The 24,026-nt window shown below is 46.0% G+C and overlaps 1 protein-coding gene across 4 annotated transcripts in view, besides 2 other annotated features; it reads left to right on the forward strand.

Moving 5' to 3' along the window:
* The window catches only part of TBL1X (transducin beta like 1 X-linked), a 256,446-nt gene that overhangs the window by 43,172 nt on the left and 189,248 nt on the right, over positions 1–24,026 (forward strand). The gene's annotated exons all lie outside the window — the stretch shown is intronic.
* Positions 16,466–16,990: an enhancer, noted in NCBI's record as "H3K27ac-H3K4me1 hESC enhancer chrX:9490972-9491496 (GRCh37/hg19 assembly coordinates)". NCBI's record gives its function as "activates a minimal SCP1, AML or CMV promoter by ChIP-STARR-seq in naive H9 embryonic stem cells {active_cell/tissue: H9 hESC(naive)}" and the evidence as "EXISTENCE:reporter gene assay evidence [ECO:0000049][PMID:30033119]".
* Positions 19,946–19,995: an enhancer, noted in NCBI's record as "active region_29402". NCBI's record gives its function as "activates an Ori minimal core promoter by ATAC-STARR-seq in GM12878 lymphoblastoid cells {active_cell/tissue: GM12878}" and the evidence as "EXISTENCE:reporter gene assay evidence [ECO:0000049][PMID:35858748]".

Raw genomic sequence — 24,026 nt, forward strand, 5'->3', positions numbered from 1 at the left:
GATAGAGACGCAAAAAAGCCCTCCAAAAAATCATTGAATCCAGGAGCTGGTTTTTTGAAAAAATTAACAAAATAGATAGACTGCTAGCTAGACTAATAGAGAAGAATCAAATAGACAATAAAAAATGATAAAGGGGATATTACCACTGACCCTACAGAAATACAAACTACTATCAGAGAATACTATAAACACCTCTATGCAAATAAATTAGAAAATCTAGAAGAAATGAATAAATTCCTGCACGCATACACCCTACCAAGACTAAACCAGGAAGAAGTTGAATCTCTGAATAGACCAATAAGCTCTGAAATTGAGGCAGTAATTAATAGCCTAGCAACCAAAAAAAGCCCAGGACCAAATGGATTCACAGCTGAATTCTACCAGAAATACAGAGGAGCTGGTACCACTCCTTCAGAAATTATTCCAAACATTTGAAAAGGAAGGACTCCTCCCTAACTCATTTTATGAAGCCAGCATCATCCCAATACCCAAACCTGGAAGAGACACAGCCAATATCATACTAAATGGGCAAAAGCTGGAAGCATTCCCTTTGAAAACTGGTACAAAACAAGGATGCCCTCTCTCACCACTCCTATTCAACATAGTATTGGAAGTTCTGGCCAGGGCAGTCAGGCAAGAGAAAGAAAGAAAGGGTATTCAAATAGGAAGAGAGGAAGTCAAGTTGTCTCTGTTTGCAGATGATGTGATTTTGTATTTAGAAAACCCTATCATCTCAGCCCAAAAACTTCTTGAACTGACAAGCAGCTTCAGTGAAGTCTCAGGATACAAAATCAATGTGCAAAAATCACAAGCATTCCTTTACACCAACAGTAGGCAGGCAGAGAGACAAATCATGAGTGAACTCCCATAGACAATTGCCACAAAGAGAATAAAATACCTAGGAATACAAGTAACAAGGGATGTGAAGGACCTCTTCAAGGATAACTACAAATCACTGCTCAAGGAAATAAGAGAGGACACAAACAAATGGAAAAACATTCCATGCTCATGGATAGGAAGAATCAGTATCATGAAAAGGGCCATATTGCCCAAAGTACTTTATACATTCAATGTTGTTCCTGTCAAACTACCATTGACATTCTTCACAGAATTAGGAAAACCTATTTTAAATTTCATATGGAATCAAAGAAGATCCCACGTAGCCAAGACAATCCTAAGCAAAAAGAACAAAGCTGGAGGCATCATGCTACCTGACTTCAAACTATACTACAAGGTTACATTAACAAAAACAGCATGGTATGGGTACCAAAACAGACATATAGACCAGTGGACCAGAACAGAGACCTCAGAAATAACACCATACATCTGTAACCATCTGATCTTCGACAAATCTGCCGAAAACAAGCAATGGGGAAAGGATCTCCTTATTCAGTAAATGGTGCTGGGAAAACTGGCTAGCCATATGCTGAAAACTGAAACTGGACCCCTTCCTTACACCTTATACAAAAATTAATTCAAGATAGATTAAAGACTTAAATGTAAAACCCAAAACCATAAAAACCCTAGAAGATAACCTAAGCAATACCATTCATGACATAGGCATGGGCTAAGAGTTCATGACTAAAACACCAAAAGCAATTGCAACAAAAGCCAAAATTGACAAATGGGATCTAATTCAACTAAAGAGCTTCTGCTCAGTAAAAGAAACTATGATCAGAGTGAACAGGCAACCTACAGAGTGGGAGAAAACTTCTGCAATCTACCCATCTGACAAAGGTCTAATATCCAGAATTTGCAAGGAACTTAAACATATTTACAAGAAAAAAACAACCCCATCAAAAAGTGGGCAAAGGATATGAACAGACACTTCTCAAAAGAAGACATTTACACAGCCAACAAGCATGGTAAAAAGCTCAACATCACTGATCATCAGAGAAATGCAAATCAAAACCTCAATGAGATACCATCTCATGCCAGTCAGATGGCGATTATTGAAAGGTCAGAAAACAATAGTTGCTGGCAAGGCTGTGGGGAAATAGGAATGCTTTTACACTGTTGGTGGGAATGTAAATTAGTTCAACCATTGTGGAAGACAGTATGGCGATTCCTCAAGGATCTAGAACCAGAAATACCATTTGACCCAGTAATCCCATTTCTGGATATATACCCAAAGTAATGTAAATCATTCTGCTATAAAGATGCATGCACGTGTATGTTTCTTATAGCACTATTTACAATAGCAAAGACATGGAACCAACCCAAATGGCCATCAGTGATAGACTGGATAAAGAAAATGTGGCACATATACATCATGGAATACTATGCAGCCATAAAAAGGAATGAGATCATGTCCTTTGCAGGGACATGGATGAAGCTGGAAGCCATCATCCTCAGCAAACTAGCACAGAAACAAAACCAAACACCGCATATTCTCACTCATAAGGGGGAGTTGAACATTGAGAACACATAGACACAGAGAGGGGAACAACACACACCAGGGCCTGTTGGGGAGTGGGGATGAGAGGAGGGAACTATGAGGGTCAGTAGGGATGGTGCTACTAATTAGGTAGTAGGGTGCTGCAGCAAACCACCATGACACACATACACCTGTATAACTAACCTGCACGTTCTGCGCATGTATCCTGTTTTTTTTGTTTTTTTTTTGTTTTTTTAGAAAAAGCCGGGTGCGGTGGCTCACACCTGTAATCCCAGCACTTTGGGAGGCCAAGGCGGACGGATCACAAGGTCAGGAGATCGAAATCATCCTGGCTAACATGGTGAAACACCGTCTCTACTAAAAAAAAATACAAAAAATTAGCCGGGCGTGGTGGCGGGCACCTGTAGTCCCAGCTACTCGGGAGGCTGAGGCAGGAGAATGGCATGAACCCGGGAGGTGGAGGTTGCAGTGAGCTGAGGCGACAAAGCGAGACTCTGTCTCAAAAAAAAAAAAAAAAAAAAGATTTCTAGTACATTGCCTAAAAGAACCCTTGGATGAAGTCAGACACATGGGTAGTATGAGACCCCAGATAGCATCATTTTGTATGTACAGAATCGCTTTTTTTTTTTTTTTTTTTTGAGTCAGGTTCTCACTCTGTCACCCAGGCTGGAGTGTTAGTTATGTGGTCATGGCTCACTGGAGCCTTGATCTCGTGGGCTCAAGTGATCCTCTTGCCTCAACCTCCCAAGTAGCTGGGATTACAGGCACACGCCACCATGCCTGGCTAATTTTTGTATTTTTTGTAGAGATGGGGTTTTACCATGTTGCCCAGGCTGGTCTCGAACTCCTGGGCTCACGCGATCAGCCCACCTCGGCCTTTCAAAATGCTAGGTTTACAGGTATGAGCCACTGTGCCTGGTCTAGAATTGCTTTTAGTGGATGATTTTTTGCTGTCACTGTTAATGGCGTGCATTTTCTGAGTTATCAGAGATGGCCCTGCATGCTGCGAGTCTGTGTTGACTGTACTGTTGGCTGTGTGTGTGGAGGGCAGGAAAGTGCCGTCCTTGCTGTAACTTGTGTTATTAATGATATGGACACTGTGAGTTGCTTCTAGAGAGCTACACCTCACTTCTGTGTCAGCAAATGAAGGCCCAGGAACTGACAGCGTTCCCTCTAGCTTTAATTGCGGTATAATCACCACACCCTAACATTCTCCTGTTTTACCTTTGGCAACATCTAGAGTTTGGTTGTCACAGCTGATGGGGTGGGGGTGCTATGGCATTGGGTGGGTAGAGGCCAAGGATGCTGCTGGGCATCCTACACTGCCCAGGACAGCCCCCCACAAATTATCCAGCCCTAAATGTCTACAGTGCCACAGGTAAGAAATCCTGGACCGTAGGGTAGACAGATTTGACTGGAGTGGAGAAATTGTATCCTGGGGTAAGTGGGATTTGGATTGCAGTTAGTGCAGAGCTTGTGTGTGTGGAACGCCTTGGACACTGGACTAATCCAAGAAGTTGGGTGGGGAGGAGGGGGGCTTTTTCTTTAGGTCCTGGAAACCATTAAAAACCTTTGAACAGGTGCTTTAGAAAGACAAAACTGGCATCTGTCTGAAGGATGGATTACAACAGGCACCAGCAGACTGTGGCCCACGGGGCCGTGTCCAGACTTGGCACACAACCATGCCCATTCATTCATGGGTTGTCTCTGGCTGCTGTGATGGTTAACTTTATGTGTCATCTTGGCTAGGCCATAGTATTCAGATATTTGGTCAGGTACTTAGGAATGTTGTTGTGAAGGTATTTTTTAGATGAAATAAACACATCAGTAGACTTTGAGTAAGGCAGATGACTTCCATAATGTGGGTGGACCTCATCCAATCAGTTGAAGGCCTTAAGAAAAAGACTGAGGTCCGCCAAAGAGGAGGGAATTCTACCAGTATCCTGCCTTTGGATTTGAGACTGTGACATCTGCGCTTTCCTGGGTCTCTGGCCTGCTCTGGAAAGTTTGGGCTTGCCGGCCTCCACAATTGTGTGAACCAGTTCCTTAGAATCTGTCCATCTGTCCGTCCATCCATCCATCCATCCATCCACGCACGCACACATAAACAAACCCTATTGGCACTGTTTCTCTGGACAGCCCTGACTAACATCACTGCTTTCTTGCCACAGCAGCCAAGTTGAATACGTGCTTGTAAGTACAGGGATTGTGTGGCCCACAAAGTAGAAAATATTTACTCTCTGGCCCTTTACAGAAAAAAGGCCAAGCATTGGATTTGGTAAGTGAAGTCCTTCCATGAAACTGAGAAGTGCTGAGTCAGTACTCAATGGGAGTTAAAACAGAGAAACTGTAAAAGCCAAGAGGGCTCAGGATGGTGATAATCACGGTCTTTCATTCTTTTCTCCTGTGCACATTTGACCCGCTGGCATGCAGGAGATTTAATCTCTCTAATCCAGAATGTGTTTTAGGGAATGGCTTGCCTGGCTTGTGGGTTGAAATGTTCTCTCCTCAGATGTGGCTCCTGCAATATCAGCTCACCTGATGACAAGAAGTGGAAGCCATGTAACCACCTGAGACGCAAGTTAATTAGGGTTTATCAGAAAGACAACCTGAACCCCTGTGGGATGTGCTGTGGGTGAAGAAAAGATACCAGTATTCTGTGATTCCAAATAGGAGATTTTAAAAATTCTACCCCTGGAGGATGGGTTGGCATTTGTCTTCCAAACATAGGTTAAATACGTTTTATTTCTGTCTGTTTTGTACACATTTTAATCATTTTCCAGCTCACAATTACAGTTGGTACTTCTCAATTCTCAGTGAATTGTGTAGTGGAATTGTTTGCAACATCATACTTTGGAAATGACGTTGGCAATTAAAGTTTTGGTCCAAGTTTAATAATGAAGACTATTTGAAAGGCCAAAACCGATGGATGCTTTTGAGATGAAATAGTCATTTGGGAAGAAAATGAGGGCAGGTTGTCTACTTCTTAACATTTATCTGTTTTTTTTTCTTTTTTGAGAGGGTCTTGCTCTGTTGCCTGGGTTGGCGTGCGGTGGCGCGATCTCAGGTCACTGCAGCCTCAACCTCTGGGGCTCAAGTGATTCTCCCACCTCAGCCTCCCAAGTAGTTGGGATTACAGACACATGCCACCACTCCCAGCTAGTTTTATTTTTTTGTAGAGATGGGGTCTCCCTATGTTGCCCAGGCTTGTCTTTAACTCCTGGTCTCAAGTGATCCTCCTGCCTCAGCCTCCCAAAGTGTTGGGATTACAGACATGAGCCACCTTGGATTACAGGCATGAGTCACCACGCCTGGCCTTAACATTGATCTTGATGACACTGAAATCGTTGATGTGTGCCAAGGGGGTTCCTTTTTCTAAATGGAAGCTCACTGTTTTGGGTATCCATGAATTCATCATAGATATGAAGAGAAAGTTTGAAATGCCCACCAGCTGTCTGTGGTAGCACCTACATTTGTGTTACTCATGACCAATGCAGCTTTCAAGTTTATGACACGTGGCACCCCCTGAGCTTAACTACCTGGTTGCTAATGTCTTTGGACATCACTGTATTTGTTATGTCAGGGTTCCTTTTGCTAATTGCTCTTGTGGGCTTTCAGACTTTCTCTATGTACGTTTTTTTGTTTTTTGGTTTTTTTTTGGGAGATGGAGTCTCTGTTGCCCAGGCTGGAGTGCAGTGGCGTGATCCACTGCAACCTCCACCTCCCGGGTTCAAGTGTTTCTCCTGCCTCAGCATCCCTAGTAGCTGGGACTACAGGCATGCGCCACCACGCCTGGCTAATTTTTTGTAGTTTTGGTAGAGATGGGGTTTCACCACGTTGGCCAGGCTGGTCTTGAACTCCTGACCTCAGGTGATCCTCCCGCCTCAGCCTCCCAAAGTGCTGGGATTACAGGCATGAGCCACCGCACCCGGCCAGTGTAAGTCTTTTGAAACACAGACACCTAGTGCCTTTCCCGTGAGTCTTTCAGGGAAAGATTGAGTTCCGTGTCAGGTTGGAGTTGCTGATCAAGCGACTGACTATACGGCTTCCTAGCCCCCTTTATTTGAAAAACCAGCGTGGTCTTCACTTTTCCCTTGAGCCTACAACCACAGGGTGCCTGTTCATGTATTTCCAGGACCTTATGCGGCTCCTTTGCTCTGCTTATTCCGAGAACCAAGCCTTGGGACTGTGCATTTTGAATACAAATGAAGGCACCCGGAGGAAGCCCCCAGAGTCTCGGCACAGTTGAGGAAACAAACAAAGCATGCTACACGTGCAGGAAGATCCCTCTTTAATTCCTATGATGACCTCTCTGCTTTTTTATTTTTTAAGTTAAAAGGAGTCAATGCTTTGGGTTTTGTTAGACTGGACAAGGTAGCAAGTCATATTAAACTAACCCAGGTTGTTGCTTGAGTTTTCACTGAACTTAGACTCTACTGACGAGTATAGTCAAGCAGAAATTCCCCTCACGAGGTGGCCTGATGGTGTACTCCAGTGGGGGGGTGCAGAAGATTTGGAGGGATCTGCTTCCCGACTGGGGCAGGTTAACCTCTTTCTGCCTTAGTTACCTCTTTGCATGTCCTAAGAGCACCTGCTTATCAGATCCTTAGGAGGATTCACTGAATTCGTCCACTTGGAATCCACATGGAAGGCTGCCTGGCATGTAGGAGGTACCCAGTAAATTTTAGACTCCTGTTATTTTTGCCAGTTGGATTCAACAGATGTTTGTTCCCTGGACTAGTGTTTCTCACCTGGGGGTGATCTGCACCTAGGGGACATTTGACAAAGTCTGGAGACATTTTGGGTTGTCACAGCTTGGGGAGGGAGTGTTACTGGCATCCAGTGAATAGTAACCAGGTGTATTAGTTTTCTGTCGCTGTAAAGGAATACCTGAGACTGGGTAATTTAGAGGTTTATTTGGCACATAGTTCTACAGGCTGTACAGGCATGGTGCCGGCATCTGCTTGGTTTCTTGGGAGGCCTCAGAGCTTTTGCTCATAGCAGAAGGCAAAGGGAGAGCAGGTGTCTCACATGGCAAGAGAGGGAGCAAGAGACAGAGGGAAGGCTAGGCTCTTTTAAACAACCAGCTCTTGCATGAACTGAGGGAACTCACTCAGTACCAGGGGGAGGGCACCAAGCCATGGTTCCTCCATGAACCAAACACCTCCCACCAGGCCCCACCTCCAGCAGTGAGGATTACCCCACTACATTTCACTGTGAGATTTGGAAAGGGAAGACATCCAAACTATGTCACCAAAGATGCTGCTAAGCATCCTACCGTGCACAGAGCAGCCCCCATAACAGGGTTACCTGGCACCAGAGTGTCAGTAGTGTTGAAGTTAGGCTACACTGTAGTTCACTTGCTTATTGTGTGTAGGAAGACCGGAGGCCAGTTACCTGGCAATAACAACAACAACATCAAAACCCCCTCAAACCCAAAACAAAAAAACCCCACATGACACTGTGAGTGTTTTTTTTTTAATTTGCAGGAGATTGAGTCTTAATCCAGTTGAAGACCTTTATTTCCTTGCTAGTTACAGAGAGGTTTTTCCTGGTTCGTTGCCTGTGTTTGTTGCAGTTAGTTTTTATTGACCTTTCTAGGGTTCATGTGTGTCCCTTGGGTTTGCCATGTTTTGTTCTCCAAAGCCCCAGGAGGGTTCCCCAGTAACAGAGACTGTGTTAGATTTTTAACATTTTCTTTTACTTTTTGTTTTAAATGATTTCTTTTGATTAATTACACACTCACACTGCGTTGCAAACATAGTGCTGTCAGATCCCAGTACTGTGTCCTTTACCGGCTTTCCCCAAGGGGAGTGGCTTCTCACAGGATCATAGAGCAGGAAAACCCAGGAAATCCACGTTGGTGCAACACAGTTACCTAGCCTTGGAGCCCTTACTTGGATTTCACCCTTTTTGCGTGTACTCATTTGTGAGTTGCATGTTAAAGATGAGAGTCAGTAATATATTTCCAAATGTCAACAGAACATAAATTGAGCAGAAGAGTTTATAATGAGATGGAGGATTGAGCAGAAGAGCTCATAGCGAGCCAGGGCGAACAACCTGGCGAGGAGCTCCTTGACTTTCTTGGAGGCCGAGGTGGGAGCGTTGGTGACAACCCCCGGGAAGGCAGATGTTATCAGGAGTTAAAATGTGATGTGTGTACCGCTCATGTGTGTATGGGGTGTGCTCCTTTTGTTTTTGATGCTGAAATGAGACAAATCATTTCCCTTTTAAGCTCCAGGCAGACTGATGGAGGGGGGAAAAATAACACCCAACTTACTGCAACCTGAAATCCTTTGCCTTGGATCCACTTCCTAAGTTCCTATAGTCCTTATTTTATAAACTGATAAAACAACTTTTCTCTCTCAAGTGATGATCATCTTGTGTTTTACACTAATTAAGCCCATATACACCTCCCTTTGGAATTCCTTCTTCTGATCTGCTTGGCCTGTTTGCCAGTTAGTCGCCTTACTAGGAGAATCAAAATGTAAACTCATAATAGACAGGAACCCAACATCATCAGCACAGGATGTGGCAGAATGATTTTTCTTTCCCACCTCTTGCTGAGAAGGCAATGAGATTGGAAATGGCAAACACCCCAGAGTTCTGTAACTCTGAGTGTGGAAGAGGAGGTGGCAGCCCTTGACCTCAGTAGCGGAGCCAGATCATCGAACATCCCCGTCCAGGAATCTGGACATGCACTGGTCAAGAATTCAGCACAATTTCCTTTGGTCTGGGGATTGGGAAGCTCTTTTTGTGAGTGAGGCATGGAGTGAAATTGCAGAAGCCTGCGTGACTTGTAGAAACCGAAGCCAGGCTCGTTTACTGCCTTGCACAAGGGAGATATGATAAGACAGAATTTATTTGTGAGTGTCGTCGATGCCAAGGAGCCTGTCCAACATTTATAGAGGCTTTTGGGCTAAACGAAAAAGGGTTTGATCTGTCTGTGGAGACAGAAAGTAGATGAGTGGTTGCCTAGGACTGGGGCTTTAGGCGGGTAAGAGGTTGTCACTGCTAAAGGGTACAGGGTTAATGGAAATTCTTGAAATTGTGCTGATGGTGGCTGCACAACTCTGCAGGTACTAAAAGTTGTTGAGTTGTACTCGAAATGGGTCCACTGTATGGCATGTGTTTTATATCTCAATAAACCTGTCAAAAAAGGGTGCAGGACCACTGTTTTTGTACATGTCCTCAAAATACTTCCTGTAATCTAGTGTGGTCACAGCTGGTTCATGTGCACGGACATAGTGTCAGTGTCATTGTGGAGATAGCAGTTTCAGATTCACTGGTTCCAGAAAATGTGTCCCTGCCTGTTATCTCCGTGTTGCCACAATTAAGAACCAAGGGTCCATAACAAGCAGTGAAACCATGGTTCATATCAGAGGAAGTGGGGTGGTGTCATCTCTTTTGTATTTTTCTCTTTTCTCTCCCCCACTGCCTTTGCCCACTTCCTTCTCCAAAATAAAACAAAAGAGAGAAAGCAAGAGATAAGTGGCTGAGCTGAATGTGGTCCAGCCCTTTAGAAGAGGGGAGTACACATACTGGAGGGAAGATAAGCGAAAATACAGCCTTTCTCAAGGGCCAGCACAGACGGAGATAAAGAGAGAGCCACAGGCACACTGGCCAAGCATCAGCTCCTCAAGCATCCATCTCACTATTCAGGGTGGGGAAATACTTGATACCTCAAGTCCTCTTTATCATCGCAGATGAAAACTGACATAGGTGATTTCCTTTCGGAGCATTTAGGGAGAATGCAAGGGAAATTGACAACACACTTGGTGCAATTGGGTAACCAGTCTTTGTGTTGCCCTCCAATGACTCTTGCTTGGAAATGATTGGAAGCCCATCGTTTTAAGTCATTGGAACGACTGTCCCCTTCATAAAGCATGATGTAGCAAAATGAAAAGCATACTTCTGGTTAAAAGTGTTTTTCAAAAAAAGCTTACCACATTGAGGAGGTCATTTCATATTTCCTGATATTCAGCAATTTTGCTGTGAGCTTTGTAGAGTTGTTCTGGTGCTTAGTTCAAATAAGAAAGGAATTACTGAAATTGCACATTAAGTTAAAAAAAAAATCAGGGTTTTGGGTCCTGAGACTTGTTACCTAAACATCTGTCTTGCTATTTTGTTACAGCACAAAGTAGGAATTGTAAAACATCTTCGTTATAAACTGAGTACTATACAGTCTCTGGGAGAGCAGAAGAAACGTGGTAGGAAGGAACCACCCAGGGTGGGTAATGACAGAGTAGAGATAGTCAGATAGGGCCGGAGACAAGGCCAGGAAAGGCGAGAGGAAGAGCCTGCAGGAACGAGTTTCTTGCACGTTTGAGAGCTGGACCTGCCAAGAGGGTAAGGCCAACATCTGTGTGTGTTCTTTGAGGAAATCCGAGTAGCCTGCCCTGCCTTTGACCCTCTGCTCTTTGAACTGTGGATTCCTTCCCATACACCTGTGCATTCTCAGTGCCGTGGTCAGATCCCCAAACAGACACCAAACCCCGACCTCCGAGGCCCAGGCAGGAGCATAACCCAGCCCCAAGGGGAGATAAAGACAGAAAGAATCAGTATTATAGCAGGGACCTTTTTCAGGAATCTGCCTTCTGCAGGGCAGTGCCCTAGGTGCATTCAAGCCAGCATAGCAAATCCACATCACTAGAAAGACTCTTTCCGTTTTATAACTTGGGAAACTAAGGCCAAGGCAGTGACAAATGCCAGGTCCCCAAACTCTGAACTGCAGATCTGCAAGCTGAATGGTGGCAGGTGGGCCAGTGGGATTTTAAAGCCGTGTGCTTTTCAGGGCACCCTGGTGCTTCTCCAAATGCCGGAAGGGTTTCCTTGAAAATTCATAGCACTACTCAGTCAGGATTCTGCAGGACAGTGCCCTGGGGAGTGCATGAGTGGATGGTTCTGTGGGTAGAAGCCACGAGCTGAAGATAGTTTTACATGTTTAAAGAGTAAAGAGACTGGGAGCGGCGGCTCATGCCTGTAATCCCAACACTTTGGGAGGCTGAAGTGGGAGGATTACTTGAGCCCAAGGAGTTCAAGACCAGCCTAGGCAACATAGCAAGACCTTGTCTCTAAAAATAAATAAAATAAAATAAAAGCCAGGCATGGTGGCAGTGCTCCTGTAGCCCCAGCTATGCGGGAGGATTGTTTGAGCCCAGGAGTTCGAGGCTGCAGTGAGCCATGTTCATGCCAATGCACTCCAGCCTGGGCAACAGAGCCAGATCCTCTCTCAAAAAAAAAAAAAAAAAAGAAAAGAAAAAAACAGTACCTTGTTGATACATGGAAATGATGTGACATTCAGATAAAGTTTTACTGGAGCTCCGCCATGCCCATTCATGGACATATTTTCTATGGTTGCTTTTTCACAACAAGGGGTGTTGCAACCATGGCAACAGACACTGTCTGTCTTGCGAAGCCTAAGATATTTGCTCTCTGGTCCTCTGCAGAACTAGCGTGTAGTTCTGAGTGCTTGAAGGCACGTACCATCTTGGTGGTGTGACTTGGACTTTCACCTCTCCTGATCCCTTCTTCATTTCCACCCTACTCTCATCTTGCCTTGCTTGCAGAAGCCTGGTATTTTCATAATTCGAGAGTCACTTACTTCATGTGAAGTCTTGTCCCAGTTAAAGTGCCAATAGTCCTGGGAGAGGTAATACATTAAACCTTATCAGTTATTTATACCTCAGGATTGGAAGGGATTGTTGCTGGCTTTGTCCTATAACAGCTGCGACCAGAGGACAGAGCCTAAGGGCTGTTGCATGAAATGAGGGAGGTGTGGGTCACCTCTGTGCAGGGCATGAGAAGAGAGGAGGCTGGGTCATCTGAAAGATGACCTTTGTTCATGGCCTTTTTCTGTATCCTCCTCAGTCACCCAGAAATTGGGATTGTTGGTGACAATCTTTTGGGAATTGGTGTTAGCTTCGGAGAGCCACTTAGCCTGAAGACCCTCCTTACTCCGTTATCATAGAACCAGAGTGGTAGCCACACAGGCAGACTGTCCATGCTGACGTGTAAGGCAGGGCCTTACACCTCCTACCCATGTAGGAGGTGGTGGAGCTGGGATTTTACATGGACAGCCTTCTGCTCCCCTGGTGCTTAGCTACATTCTAGTGCCTTCTGTGCAATGCCAGCTTAACATACATATGAAGTGTGCTGACCCAATCTCCTGCCTTTGCGTTCACTATTTTAGATGGTTGTGTCACCTTGAGCCTGGACTAGGGAGATAACACGTGAAGGAGATGCCGCGTGGTTTCTGTCTTGTCCATGGTACGTGGAACACATTCCCCTCAGTAACATTATGGTTGAGACATGGAATGCCACAATGTACAGTTGCCACCATATGGTATACTTCATATATATACACATATATATTTATTTAGTTTATTTTAATTTTTTTAGAGACAGAGTCTTGCTCTGGTGCCTAGGCTGGAGTACAGTGGTGCAGTCGTAGCTCACTGCAGCCTCGATCTCCTGGGCTCAGTGATCCTCCCACTGCATTGTCCCAAAGCGCTTGGATTATAGGTGTAAGCCACTGGGCCCGGCCTACTTGTATATTTTTCATTGCAAATGTACATTTCAGTTACGTTGTGGGCTTTAAAAAGCCTTTCTAGGCTAGTTGGGAATTTGACCCTATTTTTTACAGCATAGTTTCTAGGAGAAAAACATTTCTGAGGAAGTAACAAAAGAAGACTTGGGCTGTATCCCATTTTTAATTTAGAGAGCACTGTCATTTGAAAATTTCTTCTCTCAACATGTTTTCTTTTTGAGACATGAAGTAGGCAGGCAGGATCTTTTTTACAGTGGCGCTGGTGTCTTTGGGAAGCGGCTTCCTTGGTTTGCCTTTGCTCATTTTCTTTCTTGACTTCTCCAGGCATTCAGCTGCAGGCATGTACCTCTGCTGCTGGGAGAGTGGCAAGGAGAGGGGGTTGGAGGAACGGGGATAAAAATTAGCTAGAATTCAAAAACGGCAGTGACAGCCCAGATGATTTTTCATGCTAACCTACTTTAAAAGCTGCCAGAATAATTGTGGAGTGGGAAATCTCTCATTTCTCCTGTCCTACTCTGACAAGATCTAAAAATAACTTTGAGGAGATGGGCATGTGGCCCTTTGATCTCCTTGGCCTGGAGTATTTCTTGGTAGGAGCAGAGCTTACAAGAAGGTGTTCTTCAATGAGTGTTCTGGCAGTCGGAGTTGTGGGTGGGGCTGATTACTGTAATCTTCCTTCGTCATTGAACGATTTCATCTGCCCCTGGTTTCCATTACTTGCTGCTCTAAATATTCCTCTCCCCGCACCTTCCTTTTATGTAGCCACAAACTGGAATATGTGCATGGAAAACCCAAAGGAGGCAAATCCCACTTACACTGCAGAACTTTGGTGCTGGATTTAGCGGCTATTTACCAAGCACCTCCTCTTCCAGAATAAGTAGCACAGATCTTTGACCGCCCCCCGCCCCCCACCGAGGGACTGTGGTCTAGTTGGAAGACACAAGGCAGAGGTGTAAAAAGGGAACTCTGGAGATAGGAATTGGAAATGGGGCTGAGAGCTGAAGAGATGGCCTGGGGCTAGAGACCAGGGAGATGGGAGGAGGGGGAGTTCCTTGGAAGAGTGTGCCCCTAAGAGATCCTGAAGAGTGAGCAGAGATTGATGAGAGGCGAGAGGAGACCTAGAGTTATCAGGGCTGCAGAGGTGTCCTTGGCACATAGAGGCCATAGTATCCACGTTGGCTTCCAGGGTAGGGGCAGTGCATCTGCGGCTGGCTGAAGATGGAATAAATGGGATAGTGGCTAAAAAGATGGGGGTATTGGGGGAACACCTCTCCTTGGAGTGGTCCTCCTTGCAGATAAGGGGAGACGTAGAACAGCACTTGACAGGGAAGCTGGTGTGGGGGAAGGATTTTTTTACACTAGGGGAGACTTGTGGTTGAGTTAAACAGGTTCTAGAGGCCAGGCATGGTGGCTCATGTCTGTAATCCCAGCACTTTGGGAGGCCAAGTTAGGAGGATTGCTCGAGCCCAGGAGTTGGAGACCAGCCTGGGTAGCAGCAGCATAGAGAGACCCTGTTTTTACAAAAAATACAAAAATTAGCTGGACATAGTAGCATGCACCTGTAATCCCAGCTGCTCGGGAGGCTGAGGTGGGAGGATAACTTGACCCCAGGAGTTGGAGGATGCAGTGAGCTGCAGTTGTGCCACTGCGCACCGGCCTGGGTGACAGAGGGAGACCTTGTTTCTAAGGGGAACAAAAAAAGAAGTTAAAGAGATAAGATAAAGAATGGGGGGAGGGGACGTATTTTTTGCAGGAGGGAAATTTTGAGGGTTTTTAGCCTTGGAAAAGGAGCAGAACAGATGGGAAGGTCGTAAACGTGGAACCTTTGGAAGCAGAAAGGAAGATGATTTCTCTTAAAAAGTTTTGCCTAGAGATGACTAATGTGAAGGTCTTGGTGTTTTAAGGGAGCAGGGAAAGCCAGAGGTGGTGGGTCCGGTAGATGCAGGAACTGACCCAGGCTTTCAGATTGTACACTGGGGAGCAGAGAGTGCGTGCTTGGGGGTGGGGAGGCTGCTGGCCAGGGCTGACCTTCCTCCCATGACCCCTGCGTAGAATCAGAGTAGCCTCATTTAGTGTACTTGAGTCAAGGCCTTCTGTTTAAGAGCTTATTTGAACTCATTACAGTCATCGCTTGGTATCCTTGGGGGATTGGTTCCAGGACCTCCTGCGGATACCCAAATGATTGCACACTCAAATCCTGTAGTCCTCTCAGCAAAACCTGCTGATAGGAAAAGTCAGCCCTCTGTGTCTATGGGTTTTGCATCCCCAGATACTGTATTTTCCATCTGAATTTGGTTGTGAATGCAGAACCTGCCCATAAGGAGGGCCAATTGTATTTATTGAAAAAAATCCGTGTTGTTCAAGGGTCAGTTATAGTTTGAACTACAAAAAGCAAGCAACCAAACAAAACCCCCAAAAACCAAAGCTTTAATTGGTTAAGTCAGAGCAGACTAAAAAGGACTACATGCCCAGTGGAACTTTCTGTGTAGTCTAGTAGCCATATCTGGCTATGAAGCACCTGAAATGTGGCTCATGCAACAGAGGAATTGAATTTTAAATTTTATTCCTTTTAAATATTTATTTTTGTCTTTCTTCGTTTCTTTTTTTTTTTTTTTTTTCCCTGAGATGGGGTCTCGCTTTGTCACCCAGGCTGAAGTGCAGGGTCGCGATCACTGCTCACTGCAGCCTTGACCTCTTGGGCTCAAGCGATCCTCCCACTTCAGCCTCCCAAGTAGCTGGGGCCACAGGCATGAGCTACTTTGCCCGGCTAATTTTTTAACTTTTGTAGAGATGGGGGTCTCGCCATGTTGCCCAGGCTGGTCTCAAACTCTTGGTCTCAAGCAATGCTTCCACCTCGGCCTCCCAAAGTGCTAGGATTACAGGTGTTGAGCCACAATGCCCAGCCTAAATATGTATTTCAGTAGCTCCATATGGGGAGGTGTCTTGGACAGAGCAGGTTAGCCCGTGAGACTCTCTGGTCCTTGAGTGAGAGGGAAGGATGAGGGCTTGCAGATGATCCCAGTGGGCTGGTTCTGGAAGCGAAACCTGCAGGCCCCATGGCTTGGGGAAGGCTGACCATAGCAGGTGGGAGGAGCTCTCTGAAGGCCGAGGCTGAGCACTGGTGGAGAACAGGGCCCGTGCTCACGTATCCCACACCCCAGAACTTGGTGTGCTGGATTCCAGCCTTGTGTGTTTCTCATTATGACTATGTAAATGCCAGGAGGGTTGGGACTGTGTGATTTTTCTTCTTGCTTGGATGCTCGAGAGTTCTTCATTAATTAGTGAAGGAAAGCTGGCTCTAAGGAGAAGCAGTTGAAGTGGAGTTCATTGCCCCCACTTCTCTGCAGCAGGAATGCCTTGTCCCTCCTGCCTCGGTTGAACTCACTTTCTCAGGCTCCCACCTTTGAATGGAGGCCCTTGTCAGGCTCTCCATCCCCAGCGACTCTGTTGACATTTCCCCATGGGAAAGGAAAAGACCATCTGAAAGTTTCCATCTGTGTGCAAGGTTTTCTGAACATGTTGACAACATGGGTTTAATTTTGTGAGGTCAGCAAGAGTTCTTGTGGTTTGGGATTTAGTAAAAACTGTAGGCTTTGTATGGGAAGAAAATCTCTCTCACCTCTGTCTTCTATTCTTCATTCTCTACACAGACTCTCCACTTGTCTTTAGCACTAAAAACACAAACTAAGCATTATGTTTTAAAAAAAACCCAAACCCCAAGTCCAGTAGCTGATTGCCCTGCTTTAGCTTTTCTCCCTCGTTGTCATTCTTCAAAGAAAGACTCCACTCCTTTCAGCTGTCACCCTTTCACCCTGATCACCGCATGCAGTCTGGCCTCTGCCCCGCTTGAAAGAAGCACTCTTCCCAGGGCACCCGGGAACTCGGAACTGTGAACCCCCAGAGTCTGCCCAGCCCCTCTGTCCCTGCCTTTTGAGCAACAGCGACTGGTGCCACAACCTGGGGTGCCCCTTTCCCTGGGCAGCATTACCCACACTGGGCCACCGTGGGCCAAGTCACCCACACTGGGCCAGGTCACCCACACTGGACCATATGAGGCCACGCCACTCACACTGGGTCATGTCACCCACCCCAGGCCACACTGGGCCATGTCACCCACACTTGGCAGGGTCCTGTCTTTCTCCACTCTGGTGTCTCCTTTATCTTGATGCTCAAGACTCTCTCAAAACACCAGTGGTTCAGCACAGTGTGGGGACAGAGACTTCAGCGAGGCGCCCCCAGCCCCACCCTTGACGGGAAATAAGCGCAAACTCCTTGTGCCTGAGACTCAAAGGGTCGTGTGCCTTTATTGGCCCCCTTGCCTTACACCAGTGTTCTTAACCTTTCTGTGTGTGTGCGTGGCTCTCTGTAGTCATCGAGTGAAGCCGCAGAGGTCTCAGAATCACATTCTAAAATAAAAGTAGAATCATAAAGGAAGCGATTAAAAGTGCAATTGTCAAAATATCAAAAACATGATTTGTTGAATAGTGCTTTTTTCTTTTCTTTTTATTGGTAAAATACATGTAATATAAAATTTAGTCATTTTAACCTTTTTTTTTTTTTTTTTTTTTTTTTTAGACAGAGTCTCACTCTGTTGCCCAGGCTGGAGTGCAGTGGCACGATCTTCACTCACTGCAACCTCCACCTCCCAGGTTCAAGCAATTCTCCTGCCTCAGCCTCCTGAGTAGCTGGGATTACAGGCACACGCCACCACACCCAGCTAATTTTTGTATTTTTAGTAGAGACAGGGTTTCACCATGTTGGCCAGGCTGGTCTCAAACTCCTGACCTCAGGTGATCCACCCACCTTGGCCTCCCGAAGTGCTGGGATTACAGGCGTGAGCCAGTGTGCCCGGCCTATTTTAACCATTTTTAAGTGTACAGTTCAGTAACAGCAAGTACATTCATACTCTGCACAGCCAACCTCCAGAACTCCTTTTGTCTCGTAGTCCTGAAACTCCATACATAACTACCCACTCATTTCCCCATTCCCAGCCCCAGCACCCACCCAACTTTCTGTTTCTGTGTGCTTCACAGCTCTGGGACCTCAGATACGTGGAATCCTACACTATGTGTCTTTTTGTGACTGGCTTATTTCACTCAGCGTACTGTCCTCCAGGTTCGTCCACATGGTAGCATGTGTCAGAATGTCTTTCCTTTTTAAGGCTGAGTGCTGTTCCATTGTATGGATAGGTCACTTTATTCCTGTAACTGTAGATGGATACCTGGGTTGCTTCCACCTTTTGACTGTTGTGAATAATGCTGCTACAAACTTGCCTGCACAAATATTTCCTTAAGATCCTGCTTTCAGTTCTTTGATGTGTGCTTTCTAAACCTTTTTTATTTTTTCCTTTTGTTTTGAGACAGGGTTTCACTCTGTCCCCCAGGCTGGAGTGCAGTGGCACGATCGTGACTCAGTGTAGCCTTGATCTCCTGGGCTCAAGCGATCCTCCTGCCTCAGTCTATCAAGTAGCTTGGACTACAGGCACATGCCACCATGCCCAGCTAATTTTTGTATTTTTGGTGGAGATGAGGTCTTGGTATGTTGCTCAGGTTGGTCTTGAACTCCTGGGCTCCAGCAATCACCTGTCCTTGGAGGGAGTTGGCAATGGAAGTGGGTTGGCTGTTGGAGCCCATTAGAATATTCCAGAGGGATGATGGTTCCTTGGACCAGGGTGTGGTCAAGGAGCTGGAGAGATGGGAGTCAGTTACAGACAAGACAGTGGGATTTATTGGGATTCTTGATTTCTCTCAGTGGTGAGAAATTTCGTCTTTCCACACACCTTCCATGGAAACCCGGAACACCATGGGTCCCCCGTAGGCAGTCTTAAGAGGATAGCTGTTTTTGTTCTCCTTCCAAATTCCCATTAGACTTGAGGTCAGAGTCACACTTTACTTGTTTTGAATATTTAAAGTAGTATACCTAATAGCTCAATAGACTGTATGCTTTTATTTTTATTTTTTGAGCCTGCCTTCCTAGGTATTTGGACAAATTTCTCCATAAGAGAAGTGAACACGTAACTCTAACTTGTAATAGCAAATACCGCGGGAACACTGGGAGCCACATATTAAGATGTTATTAGACCTTCCCTGGAGTATCCAAATGGTCTATAATTGCTTAATAAGGAGAAGTTTTTGCTGAGATTTACATGATAGAGATTTGCTTTTTAAAAAGAAATTATCCAGATTTGAATGGAAAAATTGCATAGTCTCCTGAGTGTTGTTTTGCCTTTGACTTTGTACTGTTTAAGAACTGATTATGAGCAGGAGGAAATAACTCACTTCAGCTGTAATATAAATGTGCATTGGTATTTAAGCATATGTGACACATAAAACAATACCAACTTGGCCAGAATTTAAATGTTTATGTAAATTACATTTTTGGACAGGCACTTTCCTCTATTTTGCAGAGAAAATAATTTTTTCCCAAAGAGATTTTGTGTTTAAAAAAAAAACCCCTAATACTACTATTAGGAGTGTTAGATGCCTTCGATGTGGTTTTCTTTCCTCTTTTTGCCTGAAAGGCTTGAGTGCTGAAGCATCTAGCGCTATTCTTGTGTCCGGGAACGTTCCTGCCTCATTTTTGTTTCTAGTCTTGTTTCTTTCTGTGTCAGAAATAAGACTAATGCGTGCAGCTGCACCTATAGTTCAAGATGAAGGGGTCTGTGTGAGAGAGAGAACGTCTGTGCATGTGTGTATGTGTGTGAGTGTGTGTGTGAGAGAGAGGAGAGACGGGCGGGGGAGGGGAGAGAGAGAGAAAAGAGAGAGAGAGAAAAAAAAACACAGCCTCTTTGTAATACCTGGTTGACTCAGTGAAGTCTGGCTCTCTGAGCTTTACTGAATTCCTCCTTACTTATTTTGGGGCCGGAGGTGGAGATGAGTTCAAAAGTAGATAAAATTTGCCTGTTACCTAAATGAGCAGAATAGATTGCGCATAATCTTTTCTAGATGAAGCCTGTGTTTTTGGCATTCTGCTCTCAAGTCCTCTGAGCTGATCTGAGAGTGAACTGGAGTGTTAAGTTGAGAGAGATGTTGATGACTCTGGTGTGGTCTTTTCCTTTCGGAGAAGTGGAGGTGAAACGACTTGCCCGGGGTCCCTGGGAAGCAGAGCTTGTGCCAAGATGTAATTTTTCGGTTCTAAGCCCTGTGGTTTTTCTTCTGCAGCAAGGTGGGTACCCTTTTTCTGTAAGGGACCAGAGAGTATGGATTTTAGGATTTTGGGGCCAGTCTTGGCAACTATTCACCTCTGCAACTCAGCCACATTGTGAGAAGGCAGCCCTGCACATTGCATAAACAAACAAATGTGGCTGTATTCCAATAAAACTCCATTTATGGCCACTGACTTTTGAATTTCATAGAATATTCTGTAAGCATGTGTCAGCAGCTTCCCCTGTGCAGGTCCATGCTCAGAGGTAGTCGCGTTGGGGAAAGTTGCTTTCTGCCCTCCTGGAGTTGATAGACTTGTGGGGAGGCAGATACTGGAAAGCAGCCACAGACACACCAAAGGGGGGAGTCAGTCCCCTGTCATGGGAATTGTGATGGGGAGCGCCCTCCCCTGTGCATTTAGAAAGGCCCCGCCACACGGAACCACTGGGAAGCTGAGGCTTGGAGATTGCGTGGGATTTGAGATGAGCCAGGCGTGGGCAGGGAGATCGCACAGGGGAAAGGAGGATCGCCGTGGATCACACAGGACAAAGGAGGTCCTGACCTGTCCACCCCCAAAGCCCTTTGCTTCCCTAGCCCACGTTGGTGTAGGGTGGGCCGAGAGGGGGCGCAGTGTGAGGAGTGACTGTAGCTGCAGCTCAGCAGCGTCTCAGGAGAAGCCAGCTGTCTCTACTCACCACGGGAGTTTATTTCCAGTGTGGGAGAGGGACTCTTGAGAGAGAAGGACAAGATGCCCGTTTGCCCTACAGATTCCTTTGAGGAAAATTCCTATAGGGGTCTCGTCTCTGTTGTATTTATTGTAGTACGACCTTTTTTTAAGTGATTCACCATAATCTCTCTAGGCCGTATTTAGGCACTGACCCTAAATGTGCGTTAAAAAAAAAGGTTTGGGATATTTTGGTTTATTTATTTGTGTGTATGTATATAGTTGTTAAATTGGTGTCCTTGGGGTGGGGGTTGATCGGTGGAACCTTATCTTCTCTGCTTTCTTGCTCCACCCCATATTTTGGTTTGTTTTTGTTAGAGGTCGGCAAACCTTTTGTTGTCAATGGCCAGATAATAAATATTTTGTGGTTTTTAAACCCTGTAGTCTCTGGGTGTTATATGGCAAAAGCAGCCATTGACAACATGTGAGTGACTGAGTGTGTTTATTTATGGGCACTGAGGTGCTGGGATCCCATATTCACACTGTTCCGCCACCATCACCGCCATTCATAACTCCCAAACTTTTTCTTTTTCTTGGTGGAGGAGTGGAGCAGGGTCTTGCTCTGTTGCTCAGGCTGGAGTGCATCACGGCTCCCTACAGCCTTAACGATCCTCCCATGTCAGCCTCCCGAGTAGCTGGGACCACAGGTGCGCATCACCACGCCAGGCTGATTTTTTAACTTTTCTGTAGAGACGTGGTCTCCTTAGGTTGCCCAGGCTGGCATCAAACTCCTGGCCTCAAGCATTCCACCCACTCCTGCCTCCCAAAGTGTTGGGATTACAGGTGGGAGCCACCGTGCCCAGCCTCAGAAATTTTTCATTATCCCAACCCGAAACCTGGTCCCCATGAAACAGTAACTCCCCATTCTCCCTTCCCCCGCAGCCCCTGGCACCCACCGTTCTATTTTCTGTGTCTGTGGATTTGACTAGTCTGAGGTGCCTCATGTCAGTGGAGTCATGCTCTGTTTGTCCTTTTGTGTCTGGCTTTTTTCACTTAGCATAATGTCCTTGAGGTTCTCCCATGTTGTAGCCTGTGTCAGGACATTTGCAGCTCAGTTCATTTCCGAGGAATTGTCCTATATGCAGGGGGTCTTAGGAACACAGGTAACTTCACTTCCCATTTGAAGAGCGAGGAGTTCTCCCGAGGCCCTGAACAGGAATAGAGACTGTGAGGCATTGGCGTTTGGAAGGAAGTGTCTCTGAAATAGAAACGACTGTCAGATGAAGAGGGACAGTTCAGTATGGTACCCGGGCCTGCCTTTCCAGACGTCCCCAGCCTCTTTGCCTAGTTCCCACTCTGGGCCCCTGGGCAGGTGACCCGCAGCTGCACATGGGTTTCCTGGGAAGCCACAGTGCTGAGGATCTTGGGAGAGAGGCTCAGGATCAGAGTCTGGGGAGTGCAGGAGCTTGCGGGGGGAGGGGGTGGGGTCAGTGGGGGCGGGGGGTGCTGCTTTGGGGATTGGGAGGAGTGGACTGGGGCGGGGTCACAGAGTCTTTAGCTGAACCCATGGGTGCTCTGGGTCTCGGCTTGTCCTGACTCAAGTCAAGGGGCCCAGGCCTTTGTAAAGGTCCACATTGCCCATTCACTGGGGCCTGGCTTTGGGTGAGGGTGGCAGCTGGAGATGGGGGGAAGCCCTGAACGGGAATCTTGGCCACACACTGCTATATCCGCGACACCAAATTCTATCCCACCTGTTGTTGGCTGTTCTGGAAACCAGCACTGAAAAATACGGAGTGGAAAAGTTTTCTGATTTTTTTTTTCCTGCTTTGTTTGGGTTTTTTGGAAAACAATTTCAAAATTAGCATATGGCTTGTTAAAATTAAATCACAAAGGAAGTGCCTATGGTAACGTTTTGATCAGGCTCTAGGTCTGTGTGAACCACGGCCCATATTTGAAAATCCAGCTTTATTGGGACATAGCCATGCCCATTGCTTTCTGTGTCCTCTGTGGCTGCTTTAGTGTGCCACCAGGGCAGACTTGGGTGGGTTGCAGCAGAGATGGCATGGCCCTCAAGGTCCAAGATGTTTACTCTCTTGCCGGTCCTCTGTTATCTCTGGTCTTTGTGGTTGCCACAGTTTTCTTGGATCCAGGAGTTAAAGGCAGTCCTGAGGGATGATGGCCTCATCTCCGCAGTTGCCTGGAATGCTGAATTTCAGACGTGCTAAAGGAGGGGTTGCAGACATTGTGTGGAATGCATTCAGACCCCAGATGTGGGTGCAGGAAGGCAGGCATGGCACAGCCAGGTAGAGACTGGTTTCCAGGCCCAAGCAGCCTTCAGCAGCTGTGCGCCTTGTTTCTGATGTTGTTTGGGAGTAAGAATAATGTAGACATGGGGGGTCATGAGGCTCAGGGTAAAAACTTCAAGGAAACCTCCATGGCATGGTTGGGCGCAGTGACTCATGCCTGTAACCCCAGCACTGTGGAATGCCAAGGTGGAAGGATCGCTTGAGGCCAAGAGTTGGAGACCAGCCTGGGCAACATAAGGAGACCCTGTCTCTACCAAAAAAAAAAAAAAAAAATGACCAGGTATGGTGGCGCACACCTGTGGTCCCAGCTACTCAGGAGGCTGAGGCGGGAGCCTGGGAGGTTGAGGCTGCAGTGAGCTGTGATTGCACCATGGCACTCCAGCCTGGACCACAGAGCAAGACCCTGTCTCAAAGAAAGAAAGAGAGAGATAGAAAGAGAGAAAGAAACCTCCATGGCAGATGCATGGAGGAATGGGTTAATATCTAGAAATACGCTGAGTGGTGGAGTAAAGAAAACCCACAATAGAATACCTGATGAATGTGGGGAAAGCACTTCTGAGCTCCTCTAGTTTTAGAAGACCTAAAAAGACGATTTAAAAAAACAAACAGGAGAGCCCTGTTATTGTTGATGTCTTCCAAAACGAACGTGCATTTATAAGCCAGGTGGCATTTTAATGTCACGAGGGGGTCCATTCTCCCATCTGTCTCCTTTGCTTTTGTTAGAGTCAGTAGCTTCTAGGTCTGCTTGACATTGGAGAGGATACTGAATGCAGAAAATTTTGTTTAATTATAATGATTTGATTTTTTCCTTCTGTATTCAAGTTTGCCTGCTTCTAATGAATTGGCAGAAATGAAGAGCTTGCTCAGATTTTGCCAGGACCATTTAAAAGCAATTAAAATCAATTTAGTTATTAAATTTGAAATTATTGTCTGGCTAAATGATAGTTTAAAATTCAATTTATACTGG

The sequence above is a fragment of the Homo sapiens genome, chromosome X (assembly GCF_000001405.40).
Source record: "Homo sapiens chromosome X, GRCh38.p14 Primary Assembly".
Lineage (NCBI taxonomy): Eukaryota > Metazoa > Chordata > Mammalia > Primates > Hominidae > Homo > Homo sapiens.